The 23,976-nt window shown below is 42.1% G+C and overlaps 1 annotated feature.

Moving 5' to 3' along the window:
- Window positions 16,602–16,801: a silencer, noted in NCBI's record as "silent region_18047". NCBI's record gives its function as "represses an Ori minimal core promoter by ATAC-STARR-seq in GM12878 lymphoblastoid cells {active_cell/tissue: GM12878}" and the evidence as "EXISTENCE:reporter gene assay evidence [ECO:0000049][PMID:35858748]".

The following is a 23,976-nucleotide window of genomic DNA, read 5'->3' as shown; positions in this document are numbered from 1 at the left end:
AAAATGAGAAATCTGAGTAAGATTGATGTAGTATATCGATGTCAATAATCTGGCTGAGTGATTTTCCTATAGCTTTTCTAAGATACTACCATTGGAGGTAACTGGGTACAGGTCACATGGGGTCTCAATTATTTCTTACAACTGCATGTGAATCTACAATTACCTCAAAATTAAAAAGTTTAATTAAAAAAACAGATGCTCCAGGCCAGTGTGGTGGCTCAGGCTGGGTGCAGTGGCTCACGCCTGCAATCCCAGCACTTCGGGAGGCTGAGGTGGGAGGATCACTTGAGGCCAGTAGTTCAAGACCAGCCTGGCCAACATGGTGAAACACTGTCTCTACTAAAAGCACAAAAATTAGCTGGGCATGGTGGTGCACACCTGTAGTTCTAGCTATTCAGGAGGTTGAGGCACAAGAATCACTTGAACCCAGGAGATGGAGGTTGCAGTGAGCTGAGATCACACCACTGCACTCCAGCCTGGGTGACACAGCGAGACTCTGTCAAAAAAAAAAAAAAAAAAAAAAAAAAAGAGTTCCAGACTTCACAACAAACTATCCCTTTTACAGGGTGGTCCTCTTCCTATTTATGGCAAAGCTTCAACTTTCTCAGCTAGTGAGAAAAGATGAATGGCTTATCCTATTTTATTAACAGTAACACAACTTGGCCAGGGCCAGAGGGAAATGATTCTTAATCACTGTCTGTGTGCATCATAACCACCTTATCAAGAAGATTTTTCCCATTGACATTTAAGAGAGAATATAAATATGGGTGTGTATGTTTTAAGTAAGTCCCAAGAGGCAGAAGCTTGAGATTACAAATCTTCAGAAGTGTTTTAATAGTCTGTCAAACTCAGTTGACAATGTTTTATCAATTATGGAAGCTATTTCCATAATGATAAAATTAATGGTTTAGAAAGAGATGAAGAATTTCTTTGACCTCTAAGCACAAAAGACATCCCAGGGGTTGTGCAGATAAATCAAACACAGTGTTCCCTGTGTTAATGAAGAGAATCCATTTCAAGAGTGCACTTCTGTTCCAGAGACATCATTAGCAGGGGAAGGAAATAACAAAGTACAGGGAAAGTTCCAGGGTGTCAGATAAAAGGCAGCCCAGATTAAGAAAATATTAAATGCTAACTAAAATGCAATCAAACATCACCGAAAACACAAACCACACTGTGGGGATGGCGGGGATTCTGGTTTTCATGCTGTCTGTATTTTCAGTTTGAATAAAGGATTTCAGGGGCAGAGAGACATTTCCTGGGGAGGGTATTTTCATCTCCCCTTTCTTCACTCTTTCACAACTCCACACTCAGCCCATTTGATTTTTCCTGGAAAAATAAAACTATAGGCACACGGACAATGGGCCCTTCTGAAAGCTCATCAAGGAACCCGTTTTTAGATGCTATCAGTGCACCACAATCCCTTTCCCTATTCGCTTCTTAATTCTGCCTCTTTTTCTTCCATGCCTATTGTCTCTTTCAGATTTATTTAGTAGTGTTCCACCCATGCTGGAGGAAACTTAAGGATGGGTGCTTTTATCCTTTAAGTAGCTTTAAAGTCAAATAAATGAATACACATTACATGAATCTGATGTATAATAACACTTTTTATTTTCCTAAGCTATTTCAGAGAGGGGTGATATCCCTCACACAGAAAGCACTAAATTTCCTTATGCTTCTGTAGTAAAGCTGATGGTTTCATTGATTACAGTTAATACTAGCTATGCACTGGGCCAGTGAGTTTCTCTAGATCAACCGAACACAGAGCCTTTCATACATAAACCTCATGAGACAGGGCCGACACCTGTAAGAGGCAAAAGGCAGATGAGTCTTCCCCATTGTCAATATAAGAATTACAGAAAACTTAAATTTTAATCTTTGAAGGAAATGTTTCTTTATCAAGTGGGAATGCAGTCATGTATTGCTTAACGTTGGGGCTATGTTCTCAGAAATGAATCAGGTGATTGCCATTGTTTGAACACCGTAGAATGTACTTACACAAACCTAGATGATGTAGTCTGCTACACACCTAGGCTGTAGGGTATATATAGCCTATTGCTCCTAGGCTACATACCTGTACTGCATGGTACTGTACTGAATACTGTAGGTGATTGTAACACAATGGGAAATATTTGTGTATCTAAACATAGCTTAATATAGAAAAAGTACAGTTAAAAAAACTGTACAAAAGACAAAAACTGGTACACGTGTATAAGGCACTTTTCATGAATGGGTTTGCAGAAGCCTGGAAGTGCCCTAGGTTACTCAGTGAGTGAGTGGTGAGTGAATGTGAGGGCCCAGAACATTGCTATACACTAGCACAGACTTTATAAACACTGTACACTTAGGCTACATTCAATTTATTTAAAAATTGTCTTTAATGATTTAGTTATTATAACTTTTCTACATTATAAACTTAACTTTTTAAACTTTTTGACTCTTTTGTTATAATACATAGCTTAGAACACAAACGTACTGTACAGCTGTACAAAAATATTTTCTTTATATCCTCGTGCTATAGGCTTTTCTCTATTAGTTTTTTTTAAACTTTTTAAACTTTTTTGTTAACAACGAACAAATGCACACATGAGCCTAGGCCCACCCAGGGTCAGGATCATGGTCACCAGCTCCTTTGTCATCTTACATGGTTTGTCGTCGACTGAGACGTCATCATTCAGCCCACGACTGTAGCAGGGTTCAACAGTTTGGTTCCGGATCATTCAGTTTGGTCTCCTGATCTTGGTCAGAAAGAACTCAACAGAGCTATTACGTGAATAAGCTTTATTCTTTTGGAGACTTTGACCAGAAATCATTTATATTCATACCATGTAAGTTGTCCTTTATCTAGCAAATTGGTGTTTTGGATTAAGATCTTTGAGGACACAGACCATTTATCTTCGTATCTTTTACAAAAACCTATCCCAGTGTATGCATGGTAACTGCCTGAATTTCCACCTGTGTGTTCGTGCTTTTCTCTCACGCTGTCTCTTCCTGCTCCGCACACCCATTGCGACCCTCCAGTGGATTCCCCTTGCTCTTCGGCTCTCGGGATAATGGCTAAAGTCATCAGCACAGCTGTTGAGGCCCTGTGTGATCTCCCTTACCTCCTTTTGCAGCCATCCTGACCCCCATCAACTCCCCAACCCCATGGAAAGGGCAAATCACGTCCTCGTGGAAGTCTTCCCTGATCTCTTTGAGCAGCTCATCCCCCAGTGAAAGGTACTCAGAGCACATGCACCTTTCCTGGCAGCCCCATTACATGGCAATTTTACATCTGTTTGTGAGCATTAAAATTTAGTTCCTGGCCCCTTCACTAGGCAGTAACTTTCCTGGTGGCAGAGATTGATTTTATTTTCTTGCTTTGCCGTTAAATCCCCAGCACCTAACATCATGCCTAGCACACAGTGAGTGTCCAATAAATGTTTGTTAAATGGATGCATGAAAACATGACACAAAGATATCTTATTGTTGGCCAGCTCTGGAAGTGAGGCGTGGGGGAGAAAAATCACAGAAGGGAGTATGGGCAAAGCAGAGAGATGGGGACTGCATGGCATATCTAATTACTCTACATAACAAGGAAAGAGCATGAAATTACATCCCAAACGCAAGAGAATTGCACAATGTAAATTCAACCCACGTGGAGATTCAGGGACAATGTCTCAGTTAATTCATTTTACAAAAGATTTCTTAAGCACCTACTAGGAAATGTGCTCAGTGGTAGGGGCACTGTGATAAACAAAACAGCCTAAGTTCCTGCTTAAGGGGGATTGAGTTTTATATTTGCAAATAAATATTTAATCTATAAATTGGGGTAGACCTACAGAGAAAAATTAAGTAGGATGAGAGGAAGAGCATATTGAAGGTACTATTTTAGATAGGGTAGTCAAGGAAGGCCTCTTGCTAAGGTAACATGGGGCAGAGACCTGAATGAGGGCAGTCGGGAGCCTTGTGGATCCTGGGACGACAGTGTTCAGGGCTGAAGGAAGAGCGATTTCAAAGGCTTGGAGGCAGCGATGTGCTTGGTAGAGGAGCAGGTGGAGAGGAATGCCTTCTTCAGATATGGGGTTCATGTTAGCACTCTCTATCAGTCTCTCCTTCTTCCTTCATTAGATGAGTTCTCTATGCCTGGTCAGGACAGGCTCTGCTCCTGTAAGCTATGAGGAGTCCTTGTATCCCATGTAAAGGTGCCCAGCAAACAGGAGCTGTGGGGGACCTTCCAGCTGATTCTGTCTTGACCTTTACTTATTAGTCATCTACTTTTCCCCAGACTGTTCTCATCTCACCCTTTATGCCTGACTGCCAGCTCTGCCCCTGCCTTCTCTTGACTGTGACCCTCACTTAGGGCTGTTAGGTTGACCTGACCTGAGAGCAGGTTCACCGTGGCACAGACTCTGCTCTTCAGGGTGCCTCCTTAGACTTTGTTGGGTTCCTGGGGCACAACCCGCATGGGTTAGCCATTAGCAATCCTTGCCAAGGGGCTCTCTGATAGACTTACAGTGTTAGCCCTCCAGAAATTTCAATGTCAAAAATACTGGGTAATTTTGAAATTCTCAAACCCAAAGGCTTGCCTTTTAAATGGATGCAGAAGAGATTTCCATACAGAGGAGGGGGCTGCCTCTGCTTAGCATACTTAAGCCACATCCCTGACATGGTCTCCACGTGATTAGAACATTGAGCCGACTAACAATATCATTAACAGTCCTGTTATCTCCTGGGAGAGGGAATTCACAGTGATGATGGCTCCCTGGGTCTTTTCTGGATGATAGGCCTGTAGAAAAGGGTGTGGAAGATGAACATCAGCACCCTCTCCCTCAGAAGTATACAGTAATGCTCAGTGACGGCTCGGAATCTCACTGGCCAAGTTCTGTCTTTCCTCTGGAATGCGATGAATGTTTGCATTTTTCTTAGGAAGACACTGTTAATCTCAAGAGACATAAAATAACATGCAGTTCCATGGTAGTTTAGCTTTTAAGAAATGCAAGGAATCATTTCTAAGCGGTGGTGGAAAGGATTGTAACAATGGTGGAGATGGAGAAAGTTATGAAGCCACTGTTATTTATGATTGCTCTAACATGCTGTTAAAATAAACTCAAATATTGTAACAAAGAGAAATAATACTGCCTTCTTCCAAACTTGGATAGAACAGAAGGAATTCCTTTATACCCCTAAGGGTTTTTACAAGATCCAGTTTACAAGCATCAGCTATTAAATTACAGTCAAGAGCTTAGTTTCCGGATATACATAGGCTGCAAGCGTGCAATTGAGAAGAACAATGGAATTTTCTTGTGGTCTTTCTGCTAGCAATGGTATGTCTTCCATGATTAGAATCATTAGATTATTGGTAGAAAGGACCTCTTTTTACACATTTGTTCCAGCAAATAGTTGGTTACTTGAACAATAATTTCTATTATAAGACTTACTAACACATCAAACCAATATTGAGTAAGCCTTGGTAAATGATACCTTACCCTGGCATCTACTCCTTTGTTCATGTATCTAATTTGTCCTATTTATAGTGTTGAGAGATGAAGGACTTTTAACAGGATCTTTATTTGCTGATTAACTCAAGGCAATGGTGAATATCAGTCACTACATATACCCTTTCTGATACTTATGCAAACACAGAGAGAAAGTATGCTGGGAATTTAAATAATAAAAGTTCCACACTTATGCATTCAGTTGATGATTAATATATAAAATGAATATAAATAAGAAATCAAAGTGTAGGTGGGTTGAACTTTGTGGTGGGCATGTCCTCATTTCTGCCTGCCCTTTTCTATCTGCACTCTCATTTCCTTCAAGGAAAACAGATCTCAGTGGAAGCCTCCTAGCAGATCTGTGGTATGAGAATGCATTTGGCTTAAGTTGGCCAGAAAATGTTTCTTTAGCTTTTAACCAAGGATCCGAACTGATGTATACTTTATGAAGAACAAGGAAAAGAAGTAAATCAATAGACCGGGCGCAGTGGCTGACGCCTGTAATCCCAGCACTTTGGGAGGCCAAAGTGGGTGGATCACCTGAGGTCAGGAGTTTGAGACTAGCCTGGCCAACACGGTGAAATACTGTCTCTACTAAAAATACAAAAATTAGCCAGGTGTGGTGGTAGGCACCTATAATCCCAGCTATTCGGGAGGCTAAGGCAGGAGAATCTCTTGAACCTGGGAGGCGGAGGTTACAGTGAGCTGAGATGGCGCCATTGCACTTCAGCCTGGGCAACAAGAGCAAAACTCCATCTCAAAAAAAAAAAAAAAAAAAAAAAGTAAGTAAAGAGTGATCAAGATATACTTAATAACTATGACCTGATGAAAAACTAAAAAATTAATTCTGCTCTATATTCCCCAAGTTGATCTAGTGGGAAAGGAACTTTCCACTGAGGCAAATTCTATTCAGGCACGTAATTATCTTTCCCTCTACAATGACATTTTCTTTAGTTTCCTCCCTGTAAATAGCAGATAGGAAAAGAACATATTTTAACATCAATGAACATGGTGGAAATAAATGGGTTAATGTTCGTGCTTCATCTTAAATGTCTTGGATAGAAAGTGCTCTGTTAGAACAGCGGGTTATGATTACTGACTGCTCACTGGGGATGAAGAGGAGAAAAATCAATAGTCATAACTTCCCTGGTCAATAGTGTTTTCTAAATCCCTATGTAGTCTGACCTGAGTTATTTCACTTTTTAAAACTGAGAGTCGTGAACAAAAAAAATTAGCATAAAATAGCATGCTTCTAATATTTTAAAAAACTGCTTCCTATTTATTCTCCTCTGTTGTCTTTTCATTCAAGCCCTGTGTGTGCAGCCTGTCGCTGACAAGGAGAGTGAGTCTTTGGGTCCTTTCTGTATCATCAGCATCAGTATTGAGGCTGAATGGGCTGGAACCAGGCAGATCCAGCAGTGTGGGGAACGGCTGGTTCCCTCCCAACCCAAGCACACTTAGTTTGCCACTAGAACACCTCCCCGTGGGCTACTGAGATAATGAGCCACTTCCTCCTAGTGTTATTTATTTCAGATCTAGGCAATGTTAGATGTAAACAGTCCTTGCGAGACCCTTTGGTTTAATCCTGTCACATTTTGGAAAAGAAAGCAGAAGCCAAAGAGAGGTAGAATCTAGTCTAAAATAACATGACTAGTTTGGGCATAGGAGAGAAGACTGGAGTTTTATTTCTAGACATGACTTTTAGCCTTTAATGGGAACCACTGAATTTGTCCCACAGAAGTCAGTTTGAGGCATGCTGTAGTGGTCAGTGCTTTATCTAGTGAAACCAGACATTGGTTTTATATTGCAGGCAACACTGTCCCATAGAGCTTTCTGTCACAGTGGGAATAGTCCATCTTAGCACCATCCATGTGGCCAACGGGCACCTAAATGTGACGAGTGTGACTGAGGAACCGAATTTTCTTCAACTTTGTATTGTACAAGTGCAGAAAGCCCTGTGCACCCTTCACCCGGCTTTTCCTGATGTGAACCTCTTACAGAACCCACTCAAATGAAGACATGAACCTTGGCACAATGCTATTAACTAACCCACAAAATTTATTCAGGTGTCATCAGTTTTTCCACTACTGTCATTTTTTTCCTGTTCCAGGATCCAATCCAGGACCCCACATTGCATGTGATCATCATGTCTTCTTAGTCTCAAAGAACTGAATATTTAATTGGACTTCATTGTAATTTAAGAGGCTGCCAGTGGCTAGTGGCTATTAAACAGGCAGTGTGGCAGGAGTAGACAAACCCCTTCACATCCATTGCCTCCATGAATGCCAATGGCAACCCAATAAGGAGGCATCGTTACTTCCAAGCTGCAGGGGAGGAAAGTGAGGCCCAGCCGGGCGGTGACTCACTCCTGTCACGTCACCAGCGAGCAGCAAAGTGGTTGAAAGCATCCAGGGTTTTCTGACCCTCGGCTGCATGCATTTTCTACTTTGCCACAGCTGCCTTCCCGAAGTGACACATGTGACTTAGAACTCACAGGAGACACTGCTGTAACATTTATTACTAAGATATGTGGAAAAATCTATATGTCTTAGGACATCTTTTAAAAAGCAAACAGCCCTCTGGAGTGGAAAAGGTCTCACTATTCTGGAAGAGCAGCTCCTCCTCTCCCTGCCCTCTGGATCGATGTTGGATCCAACACCCCAGTCTTGGGACCTCTTCTGTATTTACACTCTCTTCCTAAGTGATCTCATTCAGTTCTGTGGCTTTAAATAACGTTTATAAACTGATGGGCCCCAAATTTATATCTCTAGGCCTAATCTTGCCCTGAAACTCCACCTGCTTCCCTCCTATAGGCATGTGAGTGTCTACCAGGCATTGCAAACTTAGAATTCTTGATACTGTACCCGCTCCAATGCCCCAGCACAGGCTTCTCCAAGCCTTGCCATCTCTGTAAATGGTACCACTACTATCTGTTACTCAAGCTGAAAACCTGGAAGTCAGTCTCAATGTCTTTCTCTCTTGTTCTCACTTGCAACATCCAAACCATCTGCAAGTGCTGTTTCTCCAAAATATAGCCATGATCAATCACCGCTTCAAGCCCCATTTTCCTCACCTGGGCTACTGCCACAACTTCCTGCTAATCAGTCCCCAATTAAATCTTGTAACTTCTCTCCTTAAAATCATCTAATGGCTTCCCATTGCCCTTAAAATAAAATCCAACCACCTTGTGATGGCTCAAAAGACTTGAAATGATCCCCCTCTAGGTCTCTTTGTTCTCTTTATTCTCCATGTACGGCATTTCAGCCAATTCAGATTTTTGTCAAATTGAAAAGTCAAACCCACCCAGTTCGAACTTGTCCACCTCAGGGCTTTGCAACTTCTGTTCTCTCTGTCTAGAAGCCCCACCTCCAGATCTTTGCATCACTGGTTTCTATTAATAGGGTCTCCGCTTAACTGTCAGCTTTTCCTGGACATCTTCTCTCACTGCCCTCACTCTGTACCACCTTGTTTCCTTAGTAACACTTACTTGCTTGTTGAAATTATCTTACGTGTTCTTTTTGTTTCTGTGGTTATCCTAGCTAGAATGTCAGCTCCATGAGACCCAGGGCCTTGTCACTCTTGGGCACTGGATGTCCAGCACCTGGAAATGTTTGGTACATTGTAGAAGCTCAATAAAGATTGTTGAAGAAATGAATAAAAGAGGTCTCCCCTGCTAATATTTATGTGTTGGGTCCCCAGTTGTAATGAAAATTCATTTCTATTGCCCGCTCAGTGGTTTTCTGAGTGGCATTCTAGGGGGAGAACATTGCTGGATCAGTCTCTCTGGTGATATTAAGAAAATGGTCAGCCACAGCTCGGTGGGCCTCACAGTCACATAGATAACAGAATGACACACCAGAAATTACAGCCAGTGTATTAGGCAGGCTAGGCGAGACGAGGCTGCGGTAACAAATGCATGCAAAACCGCAGTGGCTTAATATGACAAAAGCTTTTATTCACACTAACTCCATGGCAGGCTGGGTCACTTTCTAGTGTATCTCTTCTCCATGTGGCAAGTCAACAATGGGGACAGCTTAGATATTATGATGGTGTCATCAATATGAGTGGCTTCCTGGTATCATCACAGCAGGGGAAGAGAGAGTTGGCCATTCACACTCCAGCTTCTAAGTACTTTGGCCCAGAAGCAACATAACACTATTTCTGATCACTGCCCATTGGCCAAGATTCGCCATGAGATCTTGAGACATTGCAAGGGAGCTTGCAAAATGAAGGATTAAATGAATATTTGATGAGTAGAAAATGTCTCTGCCATAGTCTACCCTTGAACACACATGAGACAACTAATACCTCTCCAGGGTAATGATCTAAAGTTCCGTCTGGTTATTTCATCTAGCTCGAAGTCCAGGATGTCTAGGTGATGAGTCCATCAGGACACGATGAGGCTTACTGTGGTCCTGAGACCTGTGCGCTAAAATGATGTTATCTTTCCTCCCCATATACACCCAGCATACAATGGTGGTGCAGGAAAAAAACATGCTCCCTTTTGGCAAAGAGAAGATTGTGGGACACACAGCAGTCTCTGGTCAACACCAAGGTCCAGGGTTTTCCATGGTCTTTGTTTCCAACCTCTAGAAGTTTCTTCCTTTTTATTATTCCATTTGGTCAAATATAAAGTGAGTGTGAGGGAATGTGCCCTTCTAGAGAGCTGTGTGGCTTTCTCAGATCATCTCCTGCTTGCAGAATATTAGGGCCCAAGGTCATTTTAAGTCTCAAATAGTCTCTTTCAAACCAAGAGCAGTTTTCTCATCTATCTGCTTCCAGTCAATTCTATGCATCAGCAAAATGACCCTCCACTGTTCTTTTAGAGAAATGACCTAATCTTTATTTCCTTGCTTTCTTACCTCCAAGACTCTCAATGTCTCAAGTTAACAGTGCTGTCTGCTTGGTGGGAAAACTATCCCTTTCGGAGGATTTTAACATGAGTCTTTCAACCCAACAGAAAGGTTTTCTTGGACACCACACCATCCGTCTGATTTTTGTCCTGGGTTTATTTGTGTCTTTATTGCTCAAATGTTTTCTCAGTACTATTAGGAATCAAGAAGTGGTCCATTGACCAATTTTGATCAGGTCTTGAATTTCTGGAATGTATTTTCTTTGTTTTCTACTTGCAAAACAGCCATTTCTGTCTCGAGCTTATCTGCTTCTCCTAACATCTTGCCACACATAGTCCATGGCAACTTCTTTTCCCTGAAGCAGTAGGCTCACTACTCCTGCGACCTCCTACACCATGGTTTGCTATATTATGGCAGGCCACAGACTGCATAGTATGGATTACGATTTTTGCAAAATTTGACATTAATCTCCTCCCTGTCCATTACCTAACCACTGAGACAGTGCCGCATATTTCAAGTTTGAGTTTTTTTTGACATGGCAGCATCCCTGGATTAGGTGATCTCCAAGATCTCTTCAAACCATAGTGTTCTGTGATTCTAAAATGATGCATTTGGCTTCTCCCACAGTAGAATCCTGTTGCTCAAACAATATTGTTGAAAGTGTGTGAATTATACCCATACAGAAATCAGTACTCAGAGTAAATATCGATGTGTATTTTCCTCCTTTGCTTGCTTTAAAAGAGCAGAAGGAGATAAAAGAGGCAGCAGTGTAAAACACATGAAAGCCTAAAATGAGATAAATCACACATGCTGTTACCACCTCTGGATAACCACTGCTAAATTTGATGTATGTGCTTCCAGTGTTTGTTCTAAGCATGGCTATATAAAGGTATATACATATATTTTTTAATTAACATGGAATTAAATTATTCACCCTATAAAAAGCAGTAGTATAACTTTGGTTGTTAAGTCTTCCATATTTTTGGTGTAATGGTACTGTGTTGATCCAGTAAAAGAAGAAAGACATTCAGGGAAAAAGCTATCTGGTGTGAGAAGGCAGGGAGGAACAGAAGCTAAGGAGGATTGGGGAGGAGTAATTTCTATGGCCAAAGAGGGTGTGGTGGGCACAGGCAAGAGTGATTCCACCTTTCTGAGTCTCTGGCAGCCGTACAGGAAGGAGTTAATGGCAAGTGTCAGCAAATGACCCCAAACAGAAGCAGGGTTGACAGCTAAAGCCTCAGGTCTTAGCACTAGGAAGGTCAGGCTTCAGCCACTTTCTTCAAGAGTATTTGAAATTCTCATCATCCTGGGCTTTGTAAGAGAGACAGTCTAGTTAGGGCACGGGATCATGGTCACGGTGGGAACCGGTGGGGCTTTAGGAAAAGCAGGGCCCAGGGGCTATTTGTCTTCACAGCCAAAGTTCTCAGAATGCTGGGTGAGGAAGGCAGTTGTGCCTCTCCAGGGGCAGTCAAGGTAGATTAAGGAGACTGACTCAGCAGAAAAAAAATTAGAAAAGATCTTTTTGAATCCTTCCTCTACCAATAATGAGCTATTTGACAACTTCGGGCAAGTTACCTGATTGCTATGATTGTTACTTTCTTCATCTGTAAAATAGAAATAATAAAAATACTGAGGTTGTGGTGTGAAATCAAGATGGCGAACATAACTAGCGTGCCTGTGATGGTTAATACTGAGTGTCAACTTGACTGGATTGAAGGATACAAAGTATTGATCCTGGGTGTGTCTGTGAAGCTGTTGCCAAAGAAGATTGACATTTGAGTCAGTGGGCTGGGAAAGGCAGACCCACCCTTAATCTGGGTGGGCACAATCTAATCAGCTGCCAGCACAGCTAGAATATAAGCAGGCAGAAAAATGTGAAAAGAGAGATTGGCCTATTCTCCCAGCCTACGTCTTTCTCCTGTGGTGGATGCTTCCTGCCCTTGAACATCGGACTTCAAGTTCTTCAGCGTTGGGACTCAGACTGGCTCTCCTTGCTCTTCAGCCTGCAGACAGCCTATTGTGGGACCTTGTGATCGTGTGAGTTAATACTCAATAAACTCATATATTGCATTCTAATGTGGTGAAGAATGGTTCTTAGGAACAGTGAATGACTGTGAATTTATTCACTCATGCAGTTTTTCAACAAATGTTTACTCAGTCCTTTTGTGTGCCAAGTAATCTGGCAAGTTCTGGCATTCAGTGATGAGCAAGAGAGAAAGTTTTCTTGAGGAGCTGGTGGCCAAGTGCAAGAGCTTAGGCAAGAAAATCAGCTACACATTTGGGCAGCAGTACCTTCAATGAAAGATGGATCACATAGGGATCTCACCTATTTTTATCATGGAGAATTTCTTTTAAAAAGATGTACTGAGCACTTTGGGAGGCAGAGACAGGAGGATTGCTTGAGCCCAGGAGTTTGAGACCAGCCTGGGCAATATAGTGAGACCTCATCTCTACAAAAAAAGAAAAAATAAAAATTAGCCAAGTATGGTGGCAAGCACCTGCAGTCCCAGCTACTTGAGAGGCTGAGGTGAGAGGATTGTTTGAGCCAGGGAGGTTGAGGCTGAAGTGAGCCATGATCACACCACTGCACTCCAGCCTGGGCAACAGAGCAAGACCCTATCTTAGAAAAAAAAAGATGTACTGAAATTAATACCATAAAATTTTGTTCAGTTTGGGTGGTAGGTATGTGAGTATTTGTTATTTTGTTATATTTACGTATGTTTGAAATATCTTATTAAATAAGAAAATGCTACATTGTGCCAAGAGCAATGGTAGGGATTAACTTAGGATATGAAAGGAACAAAGATAAATCCACCTGCCAGCTAGCCCAGAAAGAGTGTGGGAAGCAGTGGAGAGAGTCAAAGAAAGCTTTCAAGAAACCACTGACACTTTAAAAAATGTCTTTAGTTTTAATTGACAAAGACGAATTGTATATATTCGTACAATGGGGTATAATGTGATGCTATGATACATGTATATATCATGAAATGATTAAATCAGGATGTCACTCCACATATTTATGTTTTCTTTGTGGCAAGAACATTTAAAATCTACTTCAATTTTTTAGCAATTTTGAAATGTGCAATACATTATTGTGAGCTATAGTCACCATGCTGTGCAATAGATCACCAGAGCTTATTTCTCCTGTCTAACTGGACTTTGTACCTTTTGACTATCATCTTCCCCTTCCTTCTCCACCCCCACACCCAGTCTCTGACAACCACCGTTCTACTTTCTACTTTTGTGAGTTCAACATTTTTAGATTGTACGTATAAGTGAGATTTTGCAGTATTTGTGTTTTTGCACCTGGCTTATTTCACTTAGCATAATGTCCTCCAGGTTCATCCATGCTGTTGCAAATGACAGAAAATATGGTGTACATATATAATGGAATACTATTCAGTCTTAAGGAATTTTTGTCATTGACATTTCTTTTAAAGTAGGGAGATATCACGGGGGGATTTGCATTTTAGGAAGATGAATGAGAGAGAATAGCGATATGGAGGCAGAGAGATCAACAGAAGACCATTTGCCCCAAGAAAAGATTTGTGAAGGCCTAAACCCATGTGGGGATCAGAGGGAGGAGCAGGGACTAGAGGTACTCTTCAGAGAACCCTTACATCTTGGGTTCTAGTTGGATGTGAGAGCTAAGCAAGAGGAAATCTGGAATGCCTCTGAAATTTCTGTCATGAGCTCTTGGGAGAATGCAGTTTCTGGCATTGTTAATTCAGCTCGTGTTTTCCAGATGATTAAGAGGTTAGAGGCAAGAGAAAGAAGACGATGAGGTTCCTTAACAAAGTGTTACATTCGTGGTTCTTATGGTATGCCCAAGTGTCCACACAGAGAGAATAATGGATTCAGGAGAGAGGTCCACGCTAGAGATAAGGACTTGGAGGTCAGCAGAGGTCTGTTCATCTCTCGAGGAGGGAGAATAGATAGGAATAGGGTCAGGAAGGTGGCCAATACAGAGCCTTGAACACACCTACTTTAAAATCTGGAGGAGTGGGGGTGAGAAGGAAATCCTTCTAAAGAGGGCTGAAAAGAAACAAACAAGACAAACAGGAGATAAAATCCAGACAGAGTTGTGACTGAGCCCAAGGGACGGTGTGAATCTCCAGGAGAAAATAGCCCAAGAGGTAAAAATTCATGGAGAAGCCAACAGAATATCCATGAAAGTTATCCACTTAATATAGCAAGCCATTTGCAGGCCAATGATAATTACAAAAGCCATTTCAGGACACCAGATTGTAGAGGGTGGACTTGTAGCATGGTAGGTGTTCATTAAACATTTGTTGGATTGAATTACACAGGGTTACTGCCATCCTGGAACAGGCCTTGATGCTCAGGGAAGGGGTAGATGTTAGAGAAGGAATGCGGTCTTTATTGGACATTCCAATTTGGTCTAGGACCAGTAGCCCTGGATCAATCTAGAGAGGAGGCTTCCTCTTCCCAGCCTGTTGAGTCTTTGCCAACATTTTACTGCTCTGATCCATTATCAGTGTGTCACCCCTTTGCCATGCATAGAAACAGTAAGTGCAAAGAAAATGCACTGTGGGGGTGGATGACTCAGGAGGTTTGGCAATGGATAAACAGCATTTTACCTTTAGTGGTGATAGATAGAGGGCCCGCAAGGCAAAGACTGCTGTCTGCTTCTCCTCACAGGCGTCCTCCTCCTACTGTATTTTTGTGTAGCTCCAAGCATGCCACAAGTACCCACAACAAACCATTAATTAAAGCTGGTTTCTGGTCTAGGTTTAAAAACTCCAAAGTTGTCACATGGAGGGGTGTGTGTGTGTGTCAGAGGGAGAGAGAGAGAGAGAGAGAGCTTCACTAACCTTTATAGCCACTGCCTCTCTTATTCACCCATCTAACTTAGCAGCAGGCACTGAAGCCCAAATCGAAGAAGAAACCCAGTGTGCTCTGTCCTTGGAGGTATCTCCAGAGTACAGTGTCTTGTGCCTGCCACTGCTAGACATTCAGAGAATACTGACTGACAGATAGGAGGGATGAGGTGGCATCTTCTGGCACTCTGAATTTCCTTCATACTTTTTCTGATTTGGATTGTGTGGGTTGTACCAGCTAGTGTTCAACCTCAGACACAGAACCAATATATCCATTCAGAGATGTCTTACTAGGAATTGGCTTATGCTGGCCGGGCGCGGTGGCTCACGCCTGTAATGCCAGCACTTTGGGAGGCCGAGGGGGGTGGATCATGAGGTCAGGAGATCGAGACCATCCTGGCTAACACGGTGAAACCCCGTCTCTACTAAAAATACAAAAAAAATAGCCGGGCGTGGTGGCAGGCGCCTGTAGTCCCAGCTACTCGGGAGGCTGAGGCAGGAGAATGGCGTGAACCTGGGAGGCGGAGCTTGCAGTGAGCCAAGATCGTGCCATTGCACTCCAGCCTGGGTGACAGAGCAAGACTCCATCTCAAAAAAAAAAAAAAAAAAAAAAAAAAAAAAAAATTGGCTTATGGTGTTGTGGGAGCTGCCTAAGCACATCCAAAGTCCACAGGACAGGGAGTCAGGAGGGGAAGCTAAAAAGCAGAATGGAGCTCTGGGCATGGCTGCGCTGTTGTTCATGGATGTGACCTCCTCTCTGTCTCGGTCTCTGTCTCTCTCTGGGGAGTCTTGGCTGTGCTTTGAGGGCTTCCGACTGATTAGGCCAGGCCCACCCAAGTTATCCAGTATAACCTCCCTTACTTAAAAGTGAACTGATTAATGACTTGAATGACATCATCAAACCCTTTCACAGTAACAGCTAGATTAGTGTCTGGTGAATCAATGGGAACTTTAGCTTAGTCAAGTTGACATATCAAAAAAGCCATCACATGGGGTTAAGAATAATGTTAGAGATCCTGTGGATAGGTAAAGAATAGGGTGTGTGTGTTTGTGTGCATGTGGGTGTGTTTACGCGTGCGCGCGTGTGTAGGGAGGGAGGAAGAGGGAGTTGGAAGTCTTGGGATCCTCCTTTCTCTTCCCTTTGAAGTCTCACAGAAGTCTGTCGGGGGAAGATAATTGGCGTCTAACACCTTGCCGAGGGAAACCATGCCCTGAGGTTCTGCAACCCCGACACGCTGATGGAAGAACCATGTTTGCTGGCAGAGCCCCTGGTCCAGTGCCTTAGATAGGAGGCACCCACCCCGCCGGCAGGGCTGCTCCACAGTGTTGTGCGGCATGGCGCCTGGCGCCGGATGATTTCCCCACGGCGGCGCCAGAGGGCGCCCGAACTGAGGATTCGGCCCAGGACTCCCAGAGGAGACCGGCAGGTGCGGCGACGCCCAGGACTCCCGCACGCCCCGCGGCCCCGGCACGGGCACCGCACCTTCCCTGGCTACCAAGGCTACCTCCTTCACGTGCACATTTCAGGGATGGGCAGGCCGACTCCTGGGAGCAAGGAGCTTGTCTTTGTAAAGGGCGGGAGGAGGTGGCTGCTGCGGAGGGAGGCGGCAGCCTCAGGGCCCGGGAGGCTCCGTGCCTCTCTAGTCCATGCTCTCGGCTCCTCCCTCTTACTCTCAGACCCAGGGTCAACTTTTCTTGGGGCTCGGACTTTCGGAAGGCTCGCTGTCCCAGGAGGGAGTACGGCCCCGGCATGCGCTCCCCGACTTGGCCACCGCCTCCCTGAAATCCTCCCGTGGGTGCGCAGCGTGCCCGAAACTCAGCCGAGGTGCCCCCTCTGCGCGCTCCACACCCGGGCTGCTGCGGCGTGCAGCGGGATCTGCGCTTCCCTGCCACTTAACCGCCCCTCGCAGAAGACCCTGCCCCCTAAAAAGTCAGGGCCCAAGGCAAAGAAGCAGGTCTTTTGCGTAGTTTTTGTTTTGTTTCAATCAGGAGTTTAAAAAGGATGTGTACTAATGTCACCCTTCTCTCCGTTAAACGTTCAGAATCTTAATGCAATGCTTTTTAAAAGCAATACAAATTTTGAGGGAAAGAAAAATCACTAGAGGACTTTATGGTTAAAGGTTTTAATGCAATGGTAGTATTACAAAAATAACTGGCATAGTTTTTTTTTTTTTTTTTGCAATTCTCAAAGGTGGTGGTGAACAAGGACAAAACAGATCAGACAGTTGGAAATAATAAAGAAAGGCTTCTGCGCTCATAATTTTCACTGAAAGTGCTCATAATTTGCACAACTGGAACAGTTAAACACTCAGTGAGACTGAGCAATAAACACATTTCTCACTCAAACATAGCAGAGGTCAGGGAAGGAAGCCCGTGTTCTTCTTTTCTTGTCGGATGTAGGCACCTCCCTGGCCACAGCTTATTCGTGTGGTTTTGGAAAACTCTGACAGAAATGAGTGTCTGGGAGGCTTCTCAGTTGTCAAGAGGCTTCTTATATTTCCTAAAGAAACTCAACCTAGATTCATTAAGCCAAGTCACAGAGCAAAGAGAATTAAATATTTTTCTAAGGCTGCAACTAATCCTGAAACTTATAGTGGGGGAGGGGAATCTGACATATGAAAGGTCTGTGATATTTTTATGGAAAATGTATAGAGATGTTGTGTTTAAATATCCTCAGATGAGGAAAAATGGATTTTTTTTTTGTTTTTTCAAAACAAAAACCAAATGATTTTCATCCTCCTATTCCCAGACCTCTCCTTATAGACTTCAATTAAGTATCCTAACGTCTTTTTTTTGAGTCATTTAGGAAAATACTTATATGTCAGTGAAAGCAGGGAGATCCTTTGAAAGATCTTGCTAATGTATGTTAGAGTAAGGCCAGCTCTTGTATTTATGATGGTTTTTCTTTTTCATCGAAATTGTAGGCTCACATTAAGGATTTTCCCTCCCTTTATAAACATCGGCACAGTGCCGTAACTTCCTTTATTTGCAATCAGTTATCCCATGGTTAACAAAGAACTTTTTTAGAGAAAAATGTGGCCTAATGAAATTCAGTAATTCTTTATATAAAGAAAAAAGGATCTTTTATATGCATTTTTATATGCATTAAATATATAAGCATGGTGTGTACCTGGTAAAGTTGATTTCTGCTGACGATGTAACACAGGTAAATCAACATAGGGTCTCTAGCACATTATAGGGTACACTTTATTGGGTTTTACCTTCAGGTAAAGACTTCTATTAAGAATATACAAGTGCCTGCATACCTAACCTGCCTTGTTTTCCACAGGGCTGTATACATAATCTCTTTTTAAAAATTTGTTTAATCAAAGCTTGCTATATTGAATACATTTAATTGGAATCCAGTGGTTAAAGAATATAAAAATTTACTGCTGTAGAAAAGTTTTGATTAGTGCTTTCCATTAGTGAGTGTTGTTGAGTAAACCCTCTAACAGCATATTTGAGTTCAGACAAGAACTGACTTAGCAAAACAGGTGATACTTTCAACTGTACAAATATATTATTTCCCATAAATATTCCTAATGAAAGAGGTGGTCTGTTTCAGAGGAAGTAACTGCAATGACGACTTTTAAATAATCGGAAAAAAAGTTCCCAACCTTGATAAATATGTGCACAGGGACTGAAAGGGTGAATTATTAGGTGAGGAAAGGTAGAGTCTAGAAATCCTGCCCCATGTATGTTATAAAGTAAGCTGCACAAAAGCATGGCAGATAGCATCTGTGAGCCAATGCCATTTTCCTGCATCAAGATCTTTCCCTTTCTTCTTGCATCAAAAAAGTGAATTCAAATACAAAGAAAGGATGTTTTACCCTACTGAAATGTTGCAGGCAGAAGAAAGTTTGTGCTTTTTCTTTTTTTTACAAAAAAAAGAAAAAGAAAAAAATACGTTTGAACAAAATTAAAATACAAGAAGGTTCAATTCTCAGAATTTAACAATTAATTTTCATTCAGTGCTTAGCTATCAACTACAGACTTTATTAGTTAACAACAAAAGCAAAGATGCAGGTTTAAAAGGGAACTTTGGTTCCCCTTTTCCCATTTATGATTCTCCAATTCAGGAAGGGCTACATTTCTTTTCAACTATGTGTTTAAATCTGGAATCAAGATGGGAGTAGTTAAACCACCGGCTGTGTCATGAAGTAACAAGTCAGGGTTCTGTGTCTCAAATGACAAACGTCTGACTTCACCTATTGCATGGAAAAGCCCCATGTACTGGAGTCAGAGGTCTGAATCTAGATTTTTCAACTATAGAATTCCAGCCCATTTTTAGAGGGAGCTAAGTGCTGTGAATATCTTCATGCACATGAAGTGTGTGTGCGTGTGTGTGTGTGTGTGTGTGTGTGAAGGCAACACAAGTGGGCAGGGCAGTAGAAGAAAGGGAGAGGAATTGGGGATGCAGAAAGCCTCTGCTTTGGAATATTACATGTTTTCCTTTTCTATTATTCACAATGAATTTAAAGAATATTTTATAGAGAAGTAAATCCCCCCTTCTTTTTCAAAATTAGTGACAGTTGTAGGTGACTATTTTGTTCTGCCATTGTTCAGATGTAGTGTATGAACAATGTCAGGGATGTAATGTATGACCGACTTTTGTGTATGATACCCACTTATAGATTGAAAACTGAAAAAGTTCAGAGAGAAATTTGTGTACACACAATTGTTCTTTCTCTTTCAATATCACCACTGTTGGCTGACAATGAAAATGTGAAGAACATCTCATTTTGTGTTACATCCCAATGTTCTGTCTTTGCAAAAGCAATACCTCAATATAATGGATGGAATTCAATGACAGTGGCAAACAATACTACTTACAATGCTATGTATGAAAAGAATGTTATACCATAACAGTACATTGCAGAAAAATGACATTTCATGTTAGAATTATTTGATTTGATTGTGGTGAAAAGAAAAATGCTAATGTACTAAAATAAACTAGTAAGCAGTCAAAAAAGCAAAATATGTAAAAGCATCTGATTTGTCAGATGAAATATATTTGATTACTACTCATCTAACATTCTACTACCAGTTTAAATAATTTTATTAATTAAATCTAAAATTATACAACATGTTAATCTTGTAGACTAAAAGGGGAAGGAATAATTGAAAGCCTGAATATTATAGAGTGAAGTTGAATTACTTTTAGGTATGAGAAGAGCCCTTTTCACAGTGTTACTTCCAAGTGGGTTTGACTGACTATTGATAACTTCCATTTGTAAGTAGCCTCATTTGCATATAAGCCGTGTATATTATGTCATTCAATAATAATAATTTTAAAACTTCTTTTATTATGCACCCATGAGGTACCTGGCTCTGCCCAGAGTGGATTTACACAAGGAATAAGAAGGATCCAGCTTGTTCCCTAGAAGGCACAGTCAGATGTCTTAGAAAAATTAAACAAGTCACTATGGAATCCAGTGTACTTGTTGTTTAATAAATGTTTCTTATTTACTAACATTCAAAACGTAATCTCCACTCAGTCCCAAGAGACTTTTTACAAATTCTGAATTTGTGTGGTTTTAATTAATAAAATGTTTCTCTAGCATTTCCAAAAAACTGTTTAGGTTGAGAGTTTTAAAACATCCTGGATATATGATCATTCACTCTTTATTGCCACTCTATATCTTGAACATATCTTTATCACCTATACCAATTTTTCTATACACTCCTCCCCTGTAAAAGTGTCTGTGAGGACAGAGATCTTTCTAGCTATCCCAGAACCTTTTGTTTTGAATGAAAGAAGAAGCTAACACATTTAGAAATGTGTAAAAAATCCACATTAAAAATATTTTAATTGAAAATATTGTTCTTTTAATACAAAGTAATGGATATTCTGAATTAAAATGAAAGTCATACCATAAAGAAAATGATAAAGAATAAAACAAACAACCCAATGCTCAGGAATGCGGAGTGCTTACATGTTAGCATTTTGACATATATTTTTGTCTGGACATTTTTCTGTGGATATATGCACACCTTTTACAACCCAAAATATGCATTTATATTATACAGTCTAAACTACTTTTTCACTTAACAATGTGTCAGGAGCATATTTTGATATGAATAAATACAGAATCTTCATGACCACTTTAAAAGACTTGAGAACATTTGATTTGATTGTGGTGAAAAGAAAATGTATACATATCAAAATTAATTTAATCAACTTTCTATAATTATCCATTTGTACTGTTTTGGGGGGGTTGTTTGGTTTTGTTTGTTTTTATTTGGGTATGCCATCATAATTTACAAACAGTGGTGAAGAGTGCTTTCTCTCTCTCCAGCAAAGACCAGTTTTAAAAACTCCATGCACGCACTCAAGAACCCATTTTTCATTATGTCATTATTCTGCTGCACTAGAGTGTTTCACATCTTCTCCCTGAGCAGTATAGTTTTAAAGTAAATTTGGTTTCTTTAGCCAATGTTTGGAGTGGCAGGAAAAGAAATTATGGAATACATGGATTCTGCCTGTATGACTTATAAGTTTGGGAATAAGACATTCTGCCAGTAGAGACAGCAAATCACTCCACAAAAAGGCGCCAAACAATCGGAAAGCCTTGACTAAAGCGAAGATCTCTAGAAAGCCACATATTGCTATGAAAAAATCGACTTCTAAAATCAATTACCTTGTAATGCAGGCAGCAATGACAGTCTAAGAAAAAACCTATTTGTAAAATACTTCAATTCTTCGTTTGGAAACGATAGGTGAAAGAAATACGGAACTTTAAAAAATGATGGTTAGGCCGGGCGCGGTGGTTCACGTCTGTGATCCCAGCACTTTGGGAGGCCGATGTGGGCGGATCACGAGGTCAGGAGATCGAGACCATCCTGGCTAACACGGTGAAACCCCGTCTCTACTAAAAATACAAAAAAAAAAAAAAAAAAAAAAAATTAGCCGGGCTTGGTGGCGGGCGTCTGTAGTCCCAGCTACTCGGGAGGCTGAGGCAGGAGAATGGCGTGAACCCGGGAGGCGGAGCTTGCAGTGAGCTGAGATCCTGCCACTGCACTCCAGCCTGGGCGACAGAGCCAGACTCCGTCTCAAAAAAAAAAAAAAAAAATGATGGTTATTTTTTAGATGTTCAAATTACAAAATTATGGCTTAGAAAGGTCAAGAAGAAAAATGGCTAGAACATTTCACTGACTGCCTGTATTCGTTATCACACCCCACGGGGCCTTGAAGGAGTGACAAAACTGCTTGCCTCCGTGCTACCCTTTGTGGTCATTTTAGAACACACGAGTTGTGATTTTTCAGTAGCGTCGCCATTGTCATTTACCTATGGCTGCTAGAACAAGAGACGGATATTTTCTAGAATGCTATGAAGTCAAAAGCACTCAAGACCCCCTCCCTGGGACATATGCACTAAGGAGGGTACGAAATAAAACAGGGCTGTCTAACCAAAGCTCTGTCCAGCGTGCACAGAAAGTTCTAGAAAGAACGAGTACTTCTGAGTGTCGCTGGTTGAAGATGCATCTAGGGTGATTCTAATCCTATTATGGAATTCTCTGATTTCACTGATATCTCCAGTTTTAGTCTGGACTAAAATCCTGGGTCCTAAATGAAGACCTAGTCCTGTGTGGGGTGGGGAAGGAAGCCAGATGCCCTGTGCCTCCCTGCCTTCTCCCCGCCATCGTCTCCCACCGGGAGGGCCGCTGTAAGTCGGGCCACATTTGGCTTGCTGTCACAGCGAGGATGACCACAGCCCAGGGCGGCCTGAACAACATCTTCCTCTGTCATATTTTGATAGTTCCCTACTGTTTTCCTAACACAGATGAGGCCGGGTGAGCCTCTGCAGGGAAGTTACTGTTTCTTTCCTGAGATGCTCAGCTAGGCCAGGGCGGGGAGCAGGGAGGGCCCGGCTGAAATCCTGGCGCGAGCCTGAGTGGACCCCACCTAAAAGCTGACAGAACACACGGTCCCGGCCCAAGCTGTTCCGCAGATGTAACCGGTTGCCTCCCAGCTCCAGCTGATGCAGCTTAGAGGATGAAATGGCATCTTTCCCTGAGGAACTTCCATTCCTGAAATTTCACTCAGGAGATGGGCTGCCTGTGATAACCGTGCAGAATAAAGACGGCCTTTCACACCCAGTCCTTGGCTGACCTCGGAAACAGGAGACAGACCCATGGTGAAGGAAACCTGTGCAGAGAAGACCCCTGGGCGGGCACAGCCCCTTGTTGGTGGTGGTGACGCTCTCTGCCCCCGCAGAGCTTGGTGGCTGGCGTGGGAGCCTGGCCACATGTCCCAGGGCGTTTGGGGATGAACTGAAGCAGGCGTCTGGAGCTGCTGGTCTAGGTATTTATTATTTCATGGAATTACTGCTGAGTGACAGGGGCTCCTTGCGTCCTAGCAGACTGGCATCCATGGAGCATATTTTTAACGTGAATTGCAAAAGAAATAACAAAAAATATGAAATGGCTAATTAGCCATTTCACGAAAGTCCTGCCTGATGACAAGTTTTCTGGTCAGTCTCACCATTTGCTTATTTCCAAGTGGGATGAAATCAGAACCCATGAATCCCGGACTCAGCTGGGGCTGGGAATGGAGGGGGCAGGGAAAGAAGGAATAAGGCTGAACTATTCAGTCTACCTTAATATATTTATAATGTATTGGGTGAGTTAACTGCTTTTTGGAAAGCTCTGGGGGACACCTCAGTGTTTGGTAGAATGGGGACTCTTAGTCACATAGCACTTGATTCTAGCCTAGTCTCCTCTAAGACACTACAATGGGACATGACTTTGCTCTCTGGGAGACTTCGAAAGCCTTCAAAGCAGGTAATCATGCTCTTGACGTCG

Source organism: Homo sapiens, chromosome 7 (genome assembly GCF_000001405.40).
Source record: "Homo sapiens chromosome 7, GRCh38.p14 Primary Assembly".
Taxonomy (NCBI): domain Eukaryota; kingdom Metazoa; phylum Chordata; class Mammalia; order Primates; family Hominidae; genus Homo; species Homo sapiens.
Note: the sequence above shows the minus strand (reverse complement) of the source record. Positions and strands in the feature narration are given on the sequence as shown.